Source organism: Homo sapiens, chromosome 12, assembly GCF_000001405.40.
Source record: "Homo sapiens chromosome 12, GRCh38.p14 Primary Assembly".
NCBI classification, from domain to species: domain Eukaryota; kingdom Metazoa; phylum Chordata; class Mammalia; order Primates; family Hominidae; genus Homo; species Homo sapiens.
In genome coordinates, this window is record NC_000012.12 from 100494476 (window position 1) to 100511259 (window position 16784).

A 16784-nucleotide genomic window follows, 5' to 3' on the forward strand; every position below is an offset into this window, starting at 1 on the left:
AGAAGGGAAAAGAAAAAGAGGTTTATGGAAAAAACAGATGTTGATCCGTAACTCTTAGAGAGACCAAAGGCGGCAGTAATTATTTATTAAATGCCAGTTCTCCCAAGTACTTGCTGCATCTTATTTCTTCCAGTTGGCTTATCTTCATCCTGTAGATGCAGTCAAGGGCAGTGGGAGGCCCTGCCTCCATGTCTAGCCACTTGACCATTTGCTTCTGGCCTGCCTGCCCTTCCGTGGTTCCTCAGAACAGAGTCAATGTATAGACATCTTAATGATTTTTTCTTCTAGCAATCAGAACTCACAGAATAATTAGGACTATTGGCACATACCACAGATAAAGAAAAATTGCACTCAAGATTTTTTTTCAAACAGAAACTTCCATTTCCTGCTGTAAAATTTTATGATTGTAGGTTGAGATCTCTGAGCTTAGGCTTCATCATTACTAAACCAATCTATTCAGCTCCAATTTGCATACAGAGAGAAAATTGTAGGGTTTTCCTTACAAGCTAGCCCAATTTTCAGCCAGCACAGAAGATTTCAGGGTGATTTCAGCAGCCATAAGGTGAAAAAGATGCCAGTAAATTCAGAAAAAGCCACGAAGATGCCGTCAGGTTAGAAGCATCTAAAGATGATTGCTAAGGAAGCACTGTGCCTTCTGCTTTTATGGTGTGGTTCTCTCCTCTCTCTCTTTTGCTGGACCACATTCTTATTCCATTTCCTAACACTGCATTTAAGGTTTCTGAGAATATATAGCACAAGCTGCATGAGCTGCAATGCAGAGCTGTAATTCTTTGCTGGAGCAGTTTCCTCAACTCTTTATCTGGTCCCCTCTTCTGGTAAACTAATCTGACCATGTGTGACCATTAGGACTCCTTTTCCTTTTCTCCACTAAGCTGTAGAGCCACGTCTAAGCATTATTTTCAAATCTCTTTCCCCTAGGCCCTCAGTCTCACTTCACTTAACACATCTGAGCTAGGCTGGGCATAGTGGCTCACACCTGTAATTCCAGCACTTTGGGAGGCTGAGGGAGGTGGATCACGAGGTCAGGAGATCAAGATCATCCTGGCCAACATGGTTAAACCCTGTCTCTACTAAAAATACAAAAATTAGCTTGGTGTGGTGGTGCATGCCTATAATCCCAGCTACTCAAGAGAACTGAGGCAGGAGAATCGCTTGAACCAGGGCAGAGGTTGCAGTGAGTCGAGATCGCGCCACTGCACTCCAGCCTGGTGACAGAGTGAGGCTCCAACTCAAGAAAAACAAACAAAAAAAAAACATACCTGAGCTAAAGGTATGCCAAAGGGGAGGACGAAGAAAATTTTGATTCCTTTATTCCTCTTCCTCATCTTCTTGTGTGTCATGATGACATTGATGGCTTCTATGGCCCCTTCATGTGCGTAGGGTGGAAGGCACCAGGGAAAAGACTGGCCCATGAATGAGTAGCCCACAGGCCTAACTCAGTACTCCTGAGTCTAAGCTACGCCAGGGGTTCAGAAGGGTTAATCCATGGGTTCAACTGCCCAGAAAGCTGGACTCTTTTCCAGTGGTTAACTGTGTATTGAAAACAGCAGTCATGTTGTTATAATAAAGGCAAACAAGGTTAATGGAATAGTCTATGGATAGCTGTCACTTCTTCTCTTCAAATATCGGACACTGACAATACGCTGGGCCTTGGAATAAAGCAGAGAATAGGACAGGCAAGATCCTAGTAGAAAGCAAACTCACAATAAACTTGTAAGTAAATCAATAAACAAAATAATATTATTTTTATACCTTATTTGGACCTACAGATGCCCAAGGTAGTGATACATGCTATGAAGGCAACAAAATAGGGTGATGCCCTATAGCCTGGAGTGATGGGCTGCTCTAAGTGGTATAGTCAGGAAAGGCCCCTGAGGAGTCCACAATTGAGCACAGCCTGAAAGACAAGAAGCCAGAGAGAACATTCCGGGAGGAGACAATAACAAGTGCAACGGCCCAAAGTCTGGAATGGACTCAGAAGGACCTTGTCTTCTACTCATTTTTATTTAGGGGTGGACAACTGCTTTCCCATTAACCAGCTGTGCAGCCTTGAACAGCTCACTCAAGTTCAGTTGGTAAAAGTAGATTATCAGGCTGGGAATTCTAGGACATTTACTCAAATTAAACATTTGAGTCCACAAAAATGCTACTGTTGTCCACGTCAGGAAGTGGTGACTTAATGGTACTCACTTGGTACACGGCTCAACAAGTCCTTTTAAGGTGGTCCTGGGCATGGTCCCCTTCACTGCAGGTTATTATAAAGGTCATAATTCAATGACAACTTTAAGGCATTTAGAAGGTGACCTGAAGACAAATACAGACAAGCACTCACTACTGGGTCCTGGAGACAATAATGACCTTTTCAGTGATAACTTGCAGCTTCTTCTAGAGGTGACCATGGGCCCCTTACTCTTCAAAGGCTTTGCTTAAGGTGAAGGGGAAATTTCTTCACCCCTGTAATGTTTATTCCAAAAAGCAGAGCCCAAATGAGGACTTGTGTGAAGGCAGTTTATGTGAGACATGATGAGGGAGTGGAGGCGAGGGAGTGGGCGATGCAACAGGGAAGGAGGGAAAACCAAAGAGGTCAGTTGTCAAGATCCCTGGTGTGGGGGAGGCCAGCTTGATGCCACTGGGAGCAGCACAGAGAACTGTCAGCAGAGGGGTCAGGGACTGGAGCATATATTAATATTAACTGCCCCTCGGCTCCCGTTGGTTGAGCGTCACCCCAGGGGGCATTAATTCCCCGCACTTCTGGACTGTTTTTGAGCTCAGGCCAAGCTGTCTCCTGTGGGATTAGAGAAGTTCTGGGCAGAAAGCATAGGAACGTGCGGCATGCTCTTGAAATGACAGGTGGTCAGCCTGCAGTCATCATCTGAGCTCGTGTATGATCAGCTGCCACAGGTATGGCCGAGATCAGAGACGGGCTGAAGGGATGTGACAGCTCCACCAGAAAAAGAAGAAAAGAAACTTGGACAGAATGGAATCAGAGAGATGGGGGTTGGAATCACCTCCCTGAAGTCCTTTAATTTATTCTGTTGCCAGACATCCCTGACAAATCCAGACGGAAATCTAGCCCGTCGGTAACTGAATCCACGTAGAGGCCTGGGGGTGGAAGGACACAGTTACCACACAGAGATTCGTCTCCTTTCCTCTGGGAGATCCTGCAAGCCAGGAAGCTTGGTCAAAGATTAATTTAGTGGATTAAAAAAGGCGTCTCTGATGAATGAATAAGGCAAAGTTTTATGCAATTAGTGCATAATAAAAAGTAATAATGACAAAGTCCACAGCTCCCCACCATCTGACATAGTGAATAAAACAGGAGATGGTATATTAACTAAAGTCTATATTTACTTTTAGCAAATTATGTTTTTAAAACTCAAAAATTACAAAAATTTAGAGACTAAAGAGACAAAGCATTCCAACAATAAGAGAAGAAGCAAGAGAAAATACAGTCTTATCCTCCCACACCCAATGTTCCTGGGCACAGTGATTCCTGATTCACTTAGCACAGTGACACTGGGAATGGAAATAAGGAATAAAATAGCGGGAAATGAAATCTCAGAGGCAAGTGAGATTCTCTGAACTTCAGTTTTTACCCACATAAAATGAGGATAATAATGTCACACTTCACAGGTTGTTGGGAGGAAGGAATGGGCTGTGTGGGAAAGCGCTCTGTAAGCTGCAAGGCATCCTAAAATGTTACAATTAATCCAGAGTTTGAAATGTAGTTGTCATATTTTAAATTGTTGAAATGATAAACACCATTCCACTCATTAAAAGAAGGAAGTACTGTTTATCTCAACATTGTGGAGTGCAAAGAACTTTCAAGGGGCCAGAGAGAATCAACAATACGTAAATAAGGCTGGGCGCGGGGGCTCATGCCTGTAATCCCAGCACATTGGAAGGCCAAGGCAGGCGGATCACCAGAGGTCAGGAGTTTGAGACCAGACTGGCTAACGTGGTGAAACCTCGTCTCTACTAAATATACAAAATTAGCTGGGCGTGGTGGCACGTGCCTGTAATCCCAGCTACTCGGGAGGCTGAGGCAGGAGAATCGCTTGAACCCAGGAGGCGGAGGTTACAATGAGATGGGCGACAGAGTGAGCCTCAGTCTCCAAAAAAAAAACCAAACAAACAAAACAAGAAAAAAACACCAAAAAACAAAAACAAACAATATGTAAATAAATTTCTGGTTACCTCACCTTTGCATTATTACATTGCTAACAACAGCTTTGGAATCCACGTCTTGTATTGCTTTTATTATTGTATCTAACAGTCTTTCCGGAGCCCCATTCTGATTGAGGCCTAGCAAGTGTCAGGAGGTAGATCCTATACAATCCCATTCACTTATCTTTCATTTCCTTTGGCTATTTCTCATTGCCTTATGCTTCACTTAGCTGTGTATGCCCATTTTCTTAGGGTGCGCTTTATTTCTTTATTTTTATTTTTATAGAGAAAGGGCCTTGCTCTGTCACCCAGGCTGGAGTGCAGTGGCACAATCAGAGCTCACTGCAGCCTTGAACTACTGGGCCCAAGCAATCCTCCCTCCTCAGCCTCTTCATGCTTTATTTGTATCAGAATACACTCACTTTGAAATCTGCTTCTTCCCTATGACTTATGCTTAAATTGAACGAATCTTCCAGATGTTACAGAGTCAGTCAGATGTTTTAAAATGCAATTAAAGGTTTTGAGATGCAGTTTGTAGAATATTTCTGACATTTGATTTCAGGTATTTTTCCATCTCACTGAGTTCAACTCAAGTGAACGTAGTTCTGACTTCTTGGGTGAATTAAAGTTCAAAGTTTCCAAAAGATAGAGAGATACCATTGTCTCAGATAAAATGAAGCTTTGTTTCAGCATACTTGAAATATTTTGTCACTGCTATTTCTTCTCCACAGCTCTTCCATAGCTGTAAGCAGTCTCTAAGGCATTTAATTTACTGTTACTTTGGTTTTTTCTTTCTCAAGGAATCTCAGTTCTGGTTCTCTTGATAGTGGAGTAAAGAAATGGGAGAAGGAAAGAAATATTGAATGAGCCTCTTCTTATTACAAAATAGATTACTGATTCTTTCAGCAGGGGCTTGCAGAGTTTGGAAAAGGTGTGCAATGAGTCAGAGAGTTGGCCAGCTGGTAGGCGATTCCACTGCAGTCTAGGCCTTAGCTCTCAACCCTGCAGGCTAAGAAACAGATTCTTAGGGATGCCAAGTTAAAAAAGATTGACTATAAAATCATATTGCAAATATATTAACTTACAACAATAAAAATAATTGTAATGATAACAGCTAGTATTTCTTGAGTGCTTTATAGAAATTAATGTGTCAGATATCAAGCTAAGTACATTTTAGATTTGTTAACAGATTTCCTGGGTTGGTTCCAATCTCTGCCATCTACTACCCTGTGGTCTTGGACAAATTCCTTAACTTTGCACAAGTTACTTGCCTTATTTAAATAAGGTGATAAGAAGAATGCCTGGCACATCACAAGTACTCTATTTGCCACTAAAATTCACTCTCACAACACACCTATAAGGTAGGTACCATTACTGTTCCCCTTTTATGGTGAGAAAAGGAATATTTAGTGATGTTAAATAATCTGCTAAACATTCCATAATTAGTAAGTAGGCAACTGAAATATAATCAGGACAAGGAAACAAAATCCAATGTTTAAGTCTCCAGGCTTAGAGAATACTTCTATTAACCTTGTCAACTGGGAAGGTCTTTCAATAAGATTATCTACCTTTAAAGTCTGCTGACCATGTCTGTTCTGAAGGATAGTTCTCAGAAAAAAAACATTGCCAACATTTACTCTAGGACCTCCCTTTTTTCATGCCTTCATAGCTGATGCCCCACTCAGCGTGAGAGGTACAACATTCACAGTGCTCCCAAATACTCTGCCGAACAGTGCCATCAGATAGAACTTTCTGTGACGAAGGAAATGTTCTAGCTCTACTTCGTCCAATACAGTAGCCACTATTCGCATGTGGTTATTGAACACTTAAAATGTGACTGGTGTGACTGAGGAACTGACTCTAATTTAATTTAAATCAATTTAATTTAAATAGCCTGATATGGTTGGGCTCTGTGTCCCCACCCAAATCTCATCTCAAATTATAATCCCCACATGTTGAGGGAGAGACTTGGTGACAGGTGATTGGATCATGGGGGTGGTTTCCCCATGCTGTTCTCATGATAGTGAGTGAGTTCTCATGAGATCTTGTTGTTTGATAAGTATCTGGTGCTTCTCCCTTCCTACTCTCTCTCCTGCTGCCTTTTGAGGACATGCTTTGCTGCCCTTTCACCTTCTACCACGATTATAAGTTTCCTGAGACTTCCCCAGCCATGCAGAACTGTGAGTCAATTAAACCTTTTTTCTTCATAAATTGCCCAGTCTTGGATAGTTCTTCATAGCAGTGTGAAAAGAGACTAATAAATAGCCATACATAGCTAGTGGCTACTGTTTTAGACAGCAGAGATATTCAGGAAAAAATATTTTTTTAGGGAAAAAATAATATGAGACAGTTGATCATCTCTAAGAGAAATTCAAAGGGATCCAATCAGTCTTGTTATGAGAACATTCTGTGTGAATTTCACTCAGCAACAAGGGTTTCCTGGGTCAGCTAAATAATCCTGCTCATTTCTTATCTAGTATAGATGTTTCTGAGGGCAACCGACAGGTCCATTTATTTTGGCCAGTGAAAAACTTAGTGGAGAATTCTTGAAATGGAAAATTCTGAATCATTCGTCTAGCTTCATATCCTTTGGGTAGCTTTTTCACCTATGACCCTCTCAGGGAAAGGATAGCTCTGGGATTGTGAGGAAGGGAGAACGAGGTCAGAAGTAAACTGAGGACTGAAAATGGCTTTGCAGATGGTGACCCCGATCAAGCAATTCAAACTGAAATATACCCATAGACCACCACTCTTTTCCTCTTTCTTGGCAATTAGGGCAAGTGTACCTTAGTTTTTCCACCACGGGATTTTGAGTCAGAAGACCTGGGTTAAAGTCCCAGCTTCATTCCTTACTAATGGGATGACTATAGACAAATCACTGAAACTCACTGAGTTTAAAAATAGGCTTAAAGATAGTGGAAGTTAGAAATAATACCTCCCTCCAAGGGTGCAAGTGAAGATCTGATGAGATAATGCATATGGAACCGCTTTGGAAACTTGTGAAGGCTATAGAAATGTCTTAGCAATGATTATTCCACTTGTATAGCTCACCTTTGCCTTTCAAAATTGCTTTCATATTTACTATCTCATTTTATCTTCAGAACAGGCCTAAATAGGGCATGAATTATTATCTATGTTTTACCATCTATTGATGTGGACAAATGGGGCCCACAGAAGCTGAGAGACTCATCTAAGGTTACACAGTGCATCTCGCTACATTATGCCTGGGCTCCACCCTGGATCAACTGAGTCCCCTTCTAAAGCCCTCATTTCTAAAAAACAACCAATAGACTTAAGCTTGATGTACAAAAGTTATGCTGAAGGATAAAATATAGAATTATTCCTATTCAATAAGCAACCCAAGGTACAACATGAGTCCAAAGCTGAGCAATCATAACATCAATGTAGTGATGATGGGTAGCCACCTGTTGTGCTAAGCATTTTATAAATACTATTTTAGTTAATAATCACGTATAATTCTTTGAGGTTGTATAGTTATCAACCCCATTTTACAACCAAGGAAATAAAGGCAGAAAATGGTTCAGGAATTTGTCCATTGTCCACAGAGCTAATAAGTGCCAAGACAGCCTGGATGTATTAGTTTGCTGGGTCTGCTGTAACAAAGTAACATAGACTGGGTAGCTTAAACCACAGAAATTATCCCATAGTTCTGGAGGCTGGAAGTCCAAAATCAAGGTGTCAGCAGGGTTAGCTCTTCCTGAAGGCTGTGGGTGGAGGATGTGCTCCAGGGCTCTCTCCTTGGCCCACAGATGGCCATCTCCGTCTCCTCTCTGTGTGTTCACATCAACTTCCCTCTCTGTGTTTCTGTCTCTGTAACCAAATTTCCAGTTTTTATAAGGATACAAGTCATATTGGATCTTCATTTTAATTTGATTTTCTCTGTAATGACCCTATCAACAATTAAGGTCACATTCTGAGGTACTGGGGTTTAAGGCTTCAACATATATACATCCTCATCTTACAATGGTTCAACCTACTATGTTTAGACTTTACAATGGTGTGAAATAGACACTTTTAGCATAGTTTTCAATAAATTGCATGAGATATTCAGTTCTTTATTACAAAAAAGGCTTTGTGCTAGATGATTTTGTCTTACATGGTGGTAGGCATGTCTTACATGGTGGTAGGGAAGACAGAATGAGAGCCAAGCAAAAGGGGAAACCCCTTATAAAACCATCAGATCTTGTGAGACTTACTCACTACCACGAGAACAGTGTGGGGGAAACCAACCCCATGATTCAATTATCTCCTACAGGATCCGTCCCACAACACGTGGGGATTATGGGAGCTACAATTCAAGATGAGATTTGGGTTGGGACACAGCCAAACCATATCAAGCATTATGCTTTAAATTCTTCCATTTTAAATCATACCATTCCATTTTAAATCATACCATTCTGCCACCTTTTGATGGGGACAAATGTCAGGACCCGGAGCATGGCACTTGACCTCCAAGTCCAGTTTTAGAGCCAGTGAACAGAAACCCACCCTCTAAAAGTTCTTAAACTGGAAAAGTACTCCCCCAAAATGTTTATCTAAGAGACTGGTTTCCAGCTTACTAGGCAATTTGGCATTAAGAACTTTCCTCATAAACATTTACAAATATTCTGCTCCGTAATGAAGTTAATCAGTAAACCACACAACCTCTGTCCTCTCTCACTCCTTACCTAGTCTCATTTTCAGTGGCTGTGAATAAGCTAAGAATGGTAATGCAGTTTCAGGGGTTAGAAAATCCAATTCAAATTAGTCCTCACTGCAGCTGTACGCCGTCAGGATTTTTCATGGAAATGATGAGTATGAAGCCCGCGAAAGGTAGGACACTGTTCACAGGTGCTTTCAGGTCGAGCTCTTGCAACTGGACTGAGGAAATCTGGGGACTTTGGTTGGAGATGACAGTAACAGATGTCTGTCAAAGATAGTGGCTCAGTCAGACCCAGAAGACTGGAATGAGAGTTTGGGTTGGGGTGATTTTTATAGGGTTCTAAACAGACGAATATCTTATGGGGATGAAATCCAAGGATGTTTCCCCTAATATTCTTCATAGACTCTTATGTCAAATTATCACTATTCTTCCAAACCAAACATTAGACAATTCTAATATTAATATCAATGGACACTTGAAAAAACATTTTAACAGACATTATTTAATGCAGTGCTCCTAAAATGGCAAGTCTCAGTTCCCAGGGGATCACAAAATTTATTTAGTGTCTCGTGACCAGCATTAAAAACTGGATTAGAATATAATAGAATAGAAATATTAGTGTCCCTCAAGGAGTAAAGACAAGTGGTATTTCATGAAATTTTGTTTCAGTTACATGTGTATAAGTATGTACGAGGGATATGAGATAAAATGTATCTAAAACCGTAGGTTGTGGTAAAAAAAAAAATGAAAAGAGTTTGGGAAACACGAATTAATGAAGTAGTTTCACAGCAGGTTTCTCCCAATAGTCCATGAAAAATCAGATAAGCACAGAGTTGAGCTTTAGGCCCAGGCTCTTGGTTTTCTCTGAATTAAAACATCGATTATAATTAAAACACAGTATAATGTAAATCATATTTTAATATTTTTTAAAACAGAAATTCATCTTTTAAATTTCCAGCAAGAAAAAACTCGAGTCATTTTTATAATAATGATAATTGTGAACATGTTTTTGGTCATAGACTTGGTAGCATACCATTTTGTTTAAATGCGATGTTTAAAAGTGACCGACACTGTATTTAGAAATGGAAATGAGTTGGAAGGCCGGGGAAGCAAATTTTCTATTTACTTCAATTTAACCAACATTTAATAAACATTTACTATGTGTCAGCCATTGAGTTAGATGCCAGGAATATAAAGAAAAGAATATAGTCTAATATTTTCCCTCAAAGAGTTCACAGACTAATCACAACAATCACAAAAGTATACATGTGTATGTGGTGTCAGGCACTATGCAGTTTCCATTCTTTGTCTTAGTTCATCTTTATTACAGCCTCTCATGCAGGCACTACATTCTTTCAGCTTTGTAAAGGAAGGAACAGAAGCTTAAAGAAGTTCCATGTCTTTCCCAGGTTCATATACCTAACAAGTTGTGGGTGAAATGAATCCAGATTTGTCTGCTCAGAGGGCACTCTTAGGTAGTATCTCATACCATCTCAAGTTCAGCGTGGAAGATAAGCCTGTAAACAAAAGAAATGATTGTATGTGCTTCCAATAAGTGCCATAATAGAAGTGTGTACAGAGGTAGGAGAGGTGAATTCCACCTGGGGGAACTGGGGCAGACCTCCCAGAGTAGGTGACCAGAAGTAGGTGATCAGCTGACAAGGCAGGGAGAGGCACTGACATCACAAAGGCCTGATGCCAGGAACAGCAAACAACTTTGCAGTAAAGCCCTGCCATTTAGTGAAGAAACCATGGATTAAGAAATAAAGGAAGGCAAAAAAAAAAAGTGACTTTTCTAGGCACTGCAATTCAACAGACATTCATTAAACATTTACTATGGTCAGCATTGTGCCAGGAATGAAAAACTGGATATAAACTGGACCCTTTCTTAGGAGCATCAGAAACTCACTGTGAGATTATGGGGGAGTGCCATTGTTTTTATGCAAACCTGATTTCCCATTTGGGGGTACAGTGGTTCTGGTCCCAAACTCCTTAGAGCTGCACTGGCTAATATGCCACATGTGGCTATTCAACTTTAACTTAGAATTAAATAAAATTTAACAGTCAGACTCTAAGTATCACTAGCCACATTCCAAGGGTTCAATATCCCTATGTGGTTAGTGGCTACCATATTGGTAGGTACAGAACCCTTCTATCACCTCAGAAAGCTCCCTCAGATGGCACTCCTTTAGAGAAGGTGTTGAAACCTGGAGACTGTCTAACCAGAAGAATTTTACTTTCTTTTCAGGGCTTCTCAGACTCCCCTGGAGTCCATCCATGTGTTCTCATTTAAGAACTCGTCCCTAAACTTCCATGGAGAACCGTCACAAAGGAATCCTAATTCTCATACTCTTTGATAGGCTAATTCCAAAATAAAGATTCCTAAATCTAAATTTTAATATGTATTTTCCCTTTTAAATTGTATCAAAATAGAAATAAATTTACCTTTTCAGAAAGCATACTCTAAATTAAAGTCGAACTACCTCTACTCCCTCCACATCTTATTTTCTGCCAATGTTGTATTTGTTTACTTGTTTACTTATTTTTGTCCTAACCCTTGACATCCCCACTTCCCAAAACACACAAACAAGAGAAAGGCTGGGCCTTCGTATGTGTCTTTTCACTTTCATATGTTCAGACCCTAACACAGTGACTGCTAAATAGCAAGTGTTTATAACACACACACACACACACACACACACACACACACACACACAGAGAGAGAGAGAGAACATGAGCATATGTTTATAAATAATAATTTGTAATGAAAGAACTATCCTAATACTTATATCATCAAGACAGACTGTGTTAATAATTACTTATTAACTATCAATTAACTATGATTAAAATCAGGATTTTGCTAGGTTCTTTAGGAAACATGTCTTTTAATGACACTCAACTTACCGAAACTGCTTCTCAGCAACCGTATTTTACACTCAGAACTACCTTCTGAGATAGCAACAGTCCCATTTTTATAGGAGAGATTGAAATAGGAAAAGCTTAGCCAGTTAAGATCTCATGGTCAGTTAACTGTGGAAGTTGTTCTAGTCCAACCATTTTGGAATATTTGGCCATGCTGGTTCTTTGGTTGTAAAGTTCCTTTGTAATTACTTCTCTATTTGTGGAGATTTAGGAGACACACTATGAAATGCTAGAAGTGAATGTGCTTTGAGAATAGAAGGTTTTTTTTGTTTTTTGAGATGGAGTCTCGCTCTGTCACCCAGGCTGGAGTGCAATGACATGATCTTGGCTCATCACTGCAGGCTCCACCTCCCAGGTTCAAGTGATTCTCCTGCCTCAGCCTCCCGAGTGGCTGGGTTACACGCACCTGCCACCACGTCCAGCTAATTTTTGTATCTTTAGTAGAGACGGGGTTTCACCATGTTGGTCAGGCTGGTCTTGAACTCCTTACCTCAGGTGATCCACTCGCCTTTGCCTCCCAAAGTGCTGGGATTACAGGCATTAGCCACTGCACTTGGCCAAGAATAGAAGTATTATTTAATATTATTGTGTACGGTTCTCATATTTTTACTGATGTTCTACTGTTTTAGCATGATATTATCTATATCTTTGTGAAAGCTTTCCATTTTGATCTAGATTATTCCAGAGACTGAAAGACAGGGATATTATTATCTGACTTGACTTGGGACTCCTTTGTATTTCTTGATTATGAAAATAATTGTTTTGTTGAAATAATGCTTAAAGATTTTAGAATTGTCATATGAGGAGAAAAAAAGTACACATCTCCTTGGATGCTACAGAATCCAGATTCTATCGGTTTTTGATCTTGGGCAAATTACTTAACCTTACTAGACCTGTGGCAGAGAGAAATTGGGCTAAGGGAGGAAGGGGAGTTAAGGGAATAAGATAGGTTAGAGGATAAAATCTAAGTGTACGTGAAACTAATGCTTTTAATACTTTTTAGTTTTTTTCAATTCCATTCACTCCAGAAATTTTCATCGTATTTGGTGATGAAATAGATCAGGATTTTGCTTCTATTTTATCTTTTCTTTTTGTGTAATAATTCCATATTTTTCTCCTTCCATTTTGCGGTCATAAGACAAGGCACCATTTCTAAAATATTTTGTCCATCAGACATACTCGTTTTTTTGTTTGTTTATTTTATTTTGTTTTGTTTTTGTTTTTGTTTTTTTTGAGACAGAGTCTTGCTCTGTCTCCAGGCTGGAGTGCAGTGGCGCGATCTCGGCTCACTACAACCACCACATCCCAGGTTCAAGTGATTCTCCTGCCTCAGCCTCCCAGGTAGCTGGGACTACAGGTGTGCACCACCAAGCCCAGCTAATTTTTTTGTATTTTTAGTAGAGACGGGGTTTCACCATGTTGGCTAGGATGGTCTCAATCTTTTGACCTTGTGAACCACCTGCCTCGGCCTCCCAAAGTGCTGGGATTACAGGCGTGAGCCACTGCACCTGGCCTATGCTGTTTTTATATGGATAAGTCACACAGAAGGAAAGGAAATTGATTTTTGTACAGATACTGTATACCATGTGTTCTGTCAATCATTTCCTGGGTTAATGCAGAAAGCATTATTTTCAACATGTAATATGTATATTCTGAAATTTGGCAGTGTAGAAAAGCCCTAAATTCTAATGTTCATAAACTATTAGTCATATACTTATGGAGACTTTTAGATATAAAGAAGAACTAGAAGATTATCTAGGGTGGAGTCTTCTCTTTACAGATGAACAGAGGGAGGCCCAGGTAGGGTAAGTAATGGTTTTTAAATGGCATGTAACTAGATTCAGGAACATGACTGCCAGGGACCTAGAAACCTCTTCTGTTGGGAAGACTTCCCAAGAGAAGCAATACCCACAGGGAATTTAGAGGTAAGTGGACATTAGTGAGATGAAGCCCTGGAAGGGGTTGGCTGTGTTGAGAACCATTTCAGGCTCAGGAAGCAGCAGGTGGGAGAAGTCCTGAGTCTGGAAGCGGCAAGGCACATTCAAGAAACAGAGATGTCCGAACATGCAAAATGGCTGGAAAAGAAAGCAAGGGTAGAGTCATGCAGAAGCTTGCAGGCCCAGTTATAGGTTATGTGCAAGCGGAGGCCGAGAAGGGGGTAACAAACACAAGTAGGAGGATGCAGAGAGGGGCTTTGAAGATCATGTTTTTAAGTATCACACACCTGAAATTACCCCCAGAGAGCAGCAATTCAGTGCATGGGCTTTGAGATTAGACTCCTAGAGCTCAAGTCTCATCTACTTAGGTAGGTAGGAGTAAAGTTGCTTAACTACTATGTGCCTCATGGTACTCATTTGTAAGTGGGGGTTAATAATGTTACCCACCTCATAGAGTTTTGTGAGGAATAAATGAGAACATACAAGTGCCTGCTACTACGAAGAACTCTATAAAAGTTTTCTGCAAAATGTGGTAATAGTAATCATAATAATTATAGTAATCGTTTCAACTATCTTTTGAGCACAGCAAAGAGCATTGCCAATTTGAAATCCCCAAAGCCCCAAAAAACCACGTTTTTCTAAAAGTTTGGCACACACTTTTTTGGTGACAGAACCTGACCTGAATGAATGTGAAACTATTTATGGTCTTTACTTATTGCACTTGCTGTGAATATTCATACGTTTCCCTGTGGAAAATATTGCTGTATTTGATTCTGGGTTCTGTTCCAGACTGTGCTGGGAGGGATATATAAATAGCACTGTATTCTGTTCTGAAATCCTGAAAATTCTGACTTCTAAAACACATACGACTGCCAGGGTTTCAGATAAGGAACTGTGAATCTGTATCATCTCACTCAATCCTCAGACTAACTCTTGATATCGATATTATCATCCCAACCTTGCTGCCATGAAAACCAAGATTTATCAATAGTTTGAATAATTTGCTCAAAATCCCACTGTTCATAAGAGATGGAATTGGAATTTTGGTCTAGAATTGTCTGACAACACTTTGAAGAGTCAGACACATTTGTAAACTTTCCTATCTCTTATTTATGTCTATTTTTTCAGCATTTGCATAATTTCAATTTTTTATTTTCTAAAGAGCCATAGTTGATGTTTCCAGGAAATAGAAGCATTTTCATAACCTGATGATTTTCTATTACCTAGAGGTTTTCTAAATAAGGGACTCCTTTAATAATGATGGTAGTAAGAATAATTGTTATTATTCCTATTTTAAGTCAGCTATAATTTATCGAGCACTTCTGTGTGCCAAACATTTAGCAAAGCACTTGGCACACATTATCTCATATAATCCTTACATCAACCCAATGAGGTAGGTGTTATTATTCTCTGTTTTATTAGAAGAAGACTGCAACTTAAAGACATTAAGGAATTGCCAGCTGCACACAGATTGTAAGTAACAGAGCAGGAATTTGAATCCAGTAGATAGATTGCAGGCACTGTATTCTTTTTTTTAAAGCTCCTCCTTTGTTTTATAATGATTAAAATAACACATACATATACACATGGCAAAAACTACAAACAGTAAAAAAAATTATGCAATCTTCTATCCCAGAATATAATGTAAAAATATCACCTCTCACAGTCACCACCACCTACTTTCTTCTGTATCATGCAGAAATTTGTCTTTGCACGTGGGCACGTGCGCGCACACACACACACACACACACACACAGAGTTGGTGTTTAATACCGATGTGAATATACACATTGGTCTATAGCTTACCTTTTTCATATAGCACCATATTGTAGAAAATTTCCATAACAGCACATAGAAATCTAAATAATTGTTTTACATCTACTTAATAGTGTATGGATGTAACAAATTTATTGAAGCAGACTCCTATGGATGAATATTTAGATCGTTTCCAATTTATGGCTCTTGCGAATGTGCTGCAAGTGAATATTTTTACAAAATACTTTTTCATAGAGGTTCAAGCATATTTCTAAAATAAATTTTCAAGCAGTGGAAAATTTATGCTGGGTGAAAAGGACATTGAAGTTTAAAAAACTGGAAAATATTGACAAATTTCCCCCCAAAAATATTTGTTTCCCCAACAGTGTGTATTATTAAACTTTTTAAACCCTCACACATTTGAAGATGAAAACTGTAATGTTTTAGTTTCAATTTAAATTTAATTATTGGCAAAGGTGAGCACATTTTTCTGTTTACAAAACACGGTTATATTTCTAACATTGACTATTCCTTTCCTTTATCCCTTTTTCCATAGCTTCTCAAATATTTTCTTATTGGTTTTCAGGAGCTCTTTATACATTAATGAGATGAGTCTGTCCTCTATGTTGCAGATATTTTTCTGAATTTTTAATTTGTCATTTAATTTTATATATATATATATATATATATATATACTCTAAAGAAGTTGTAAACTTTTATGTAGTTAAATGTTTCAATCTTTTCTTAGAGCCCACACTCCTAACCATTACGCCAAACTGCCTCTCTAATTTCCAGAATGATGACATTCATTCCAGTTTTGTTGTCACTTTTGTTCAGGTGTTTTAACAGAACAAGTGGCAGGTCCTCTGGGACAGAACCTGGAAGTGGAACCATACTCGCAATACAGCAATGTTCAGTTTCCCCAAGTTCAACCACAGATTTCCTCGTCATCCTATTATTCCAACCTGGGTTTCTACCCCCAGCAGCCTGAAGAGTGGTACTCTCCTGGAATATATGAACTCAGGCGTATGCCAGCTGAGACTCTCTACCAGGGAGAAACTGAGGTAGCAGAGATGCCTGTAACAAAGAAGCCCCGCATGGGCGCGTCAGCAGGGAGGATCAAAGGGGATGAGCTGTGTGTTGTTTGTGGAGACAGAGCCTCTGGATACCACTATAATGCACTGACCTGTGAGGGGTGTAAAGGTAAGCATCTTTGATTGGCAGTTTTCTCCTTCAGGTTTTACTATATTGGTTGTTGAAATCCCTTGAACTAATTGCTTCCCTTTTCCCAGGCAACTTCCCATTTTCTCCTCCTGTGC

The 16784-nt window shown here is 39.7% G+C and overlaps 1 protein-coding gene across 12 annotated transcripts in view; it reads left to right on the forward strand.

Annotated features, from left to right (window-relative positions):
* NR1H4 (nuclear receptor subfamily 1 group H member 4) overlaps positions 1 to 16784 on the forward strand; it is a 90549-nt gene that overhangs the window by 20610 nt on the left and 53155 nt on the right. For 8 of the 12 annotated variants that reach the window (NR_135146.2, NM_001206977.2, XM_047429943.1 and 5 more), the window contains one exon: positions 16303 to 16668. Coding sequence is in view for 11 of the 12 variants with exons in the window: in NM_001206977.2 (NP_001193906.1) it covers positions 16303 to 16668 (366 nt within the window). In the remaining variant the exon portion in view is untranslated. Of the gene's footprint in view, positions 1 to 8884; positions 9022 to 16302; positions 16669 to 16784 lie in introns of those variants that run through there. The other 4 variants (NM_001206993.2, NM_001206992.2, XM_011539041.3 and 1 more) reach the window with 1 other exon arrangement.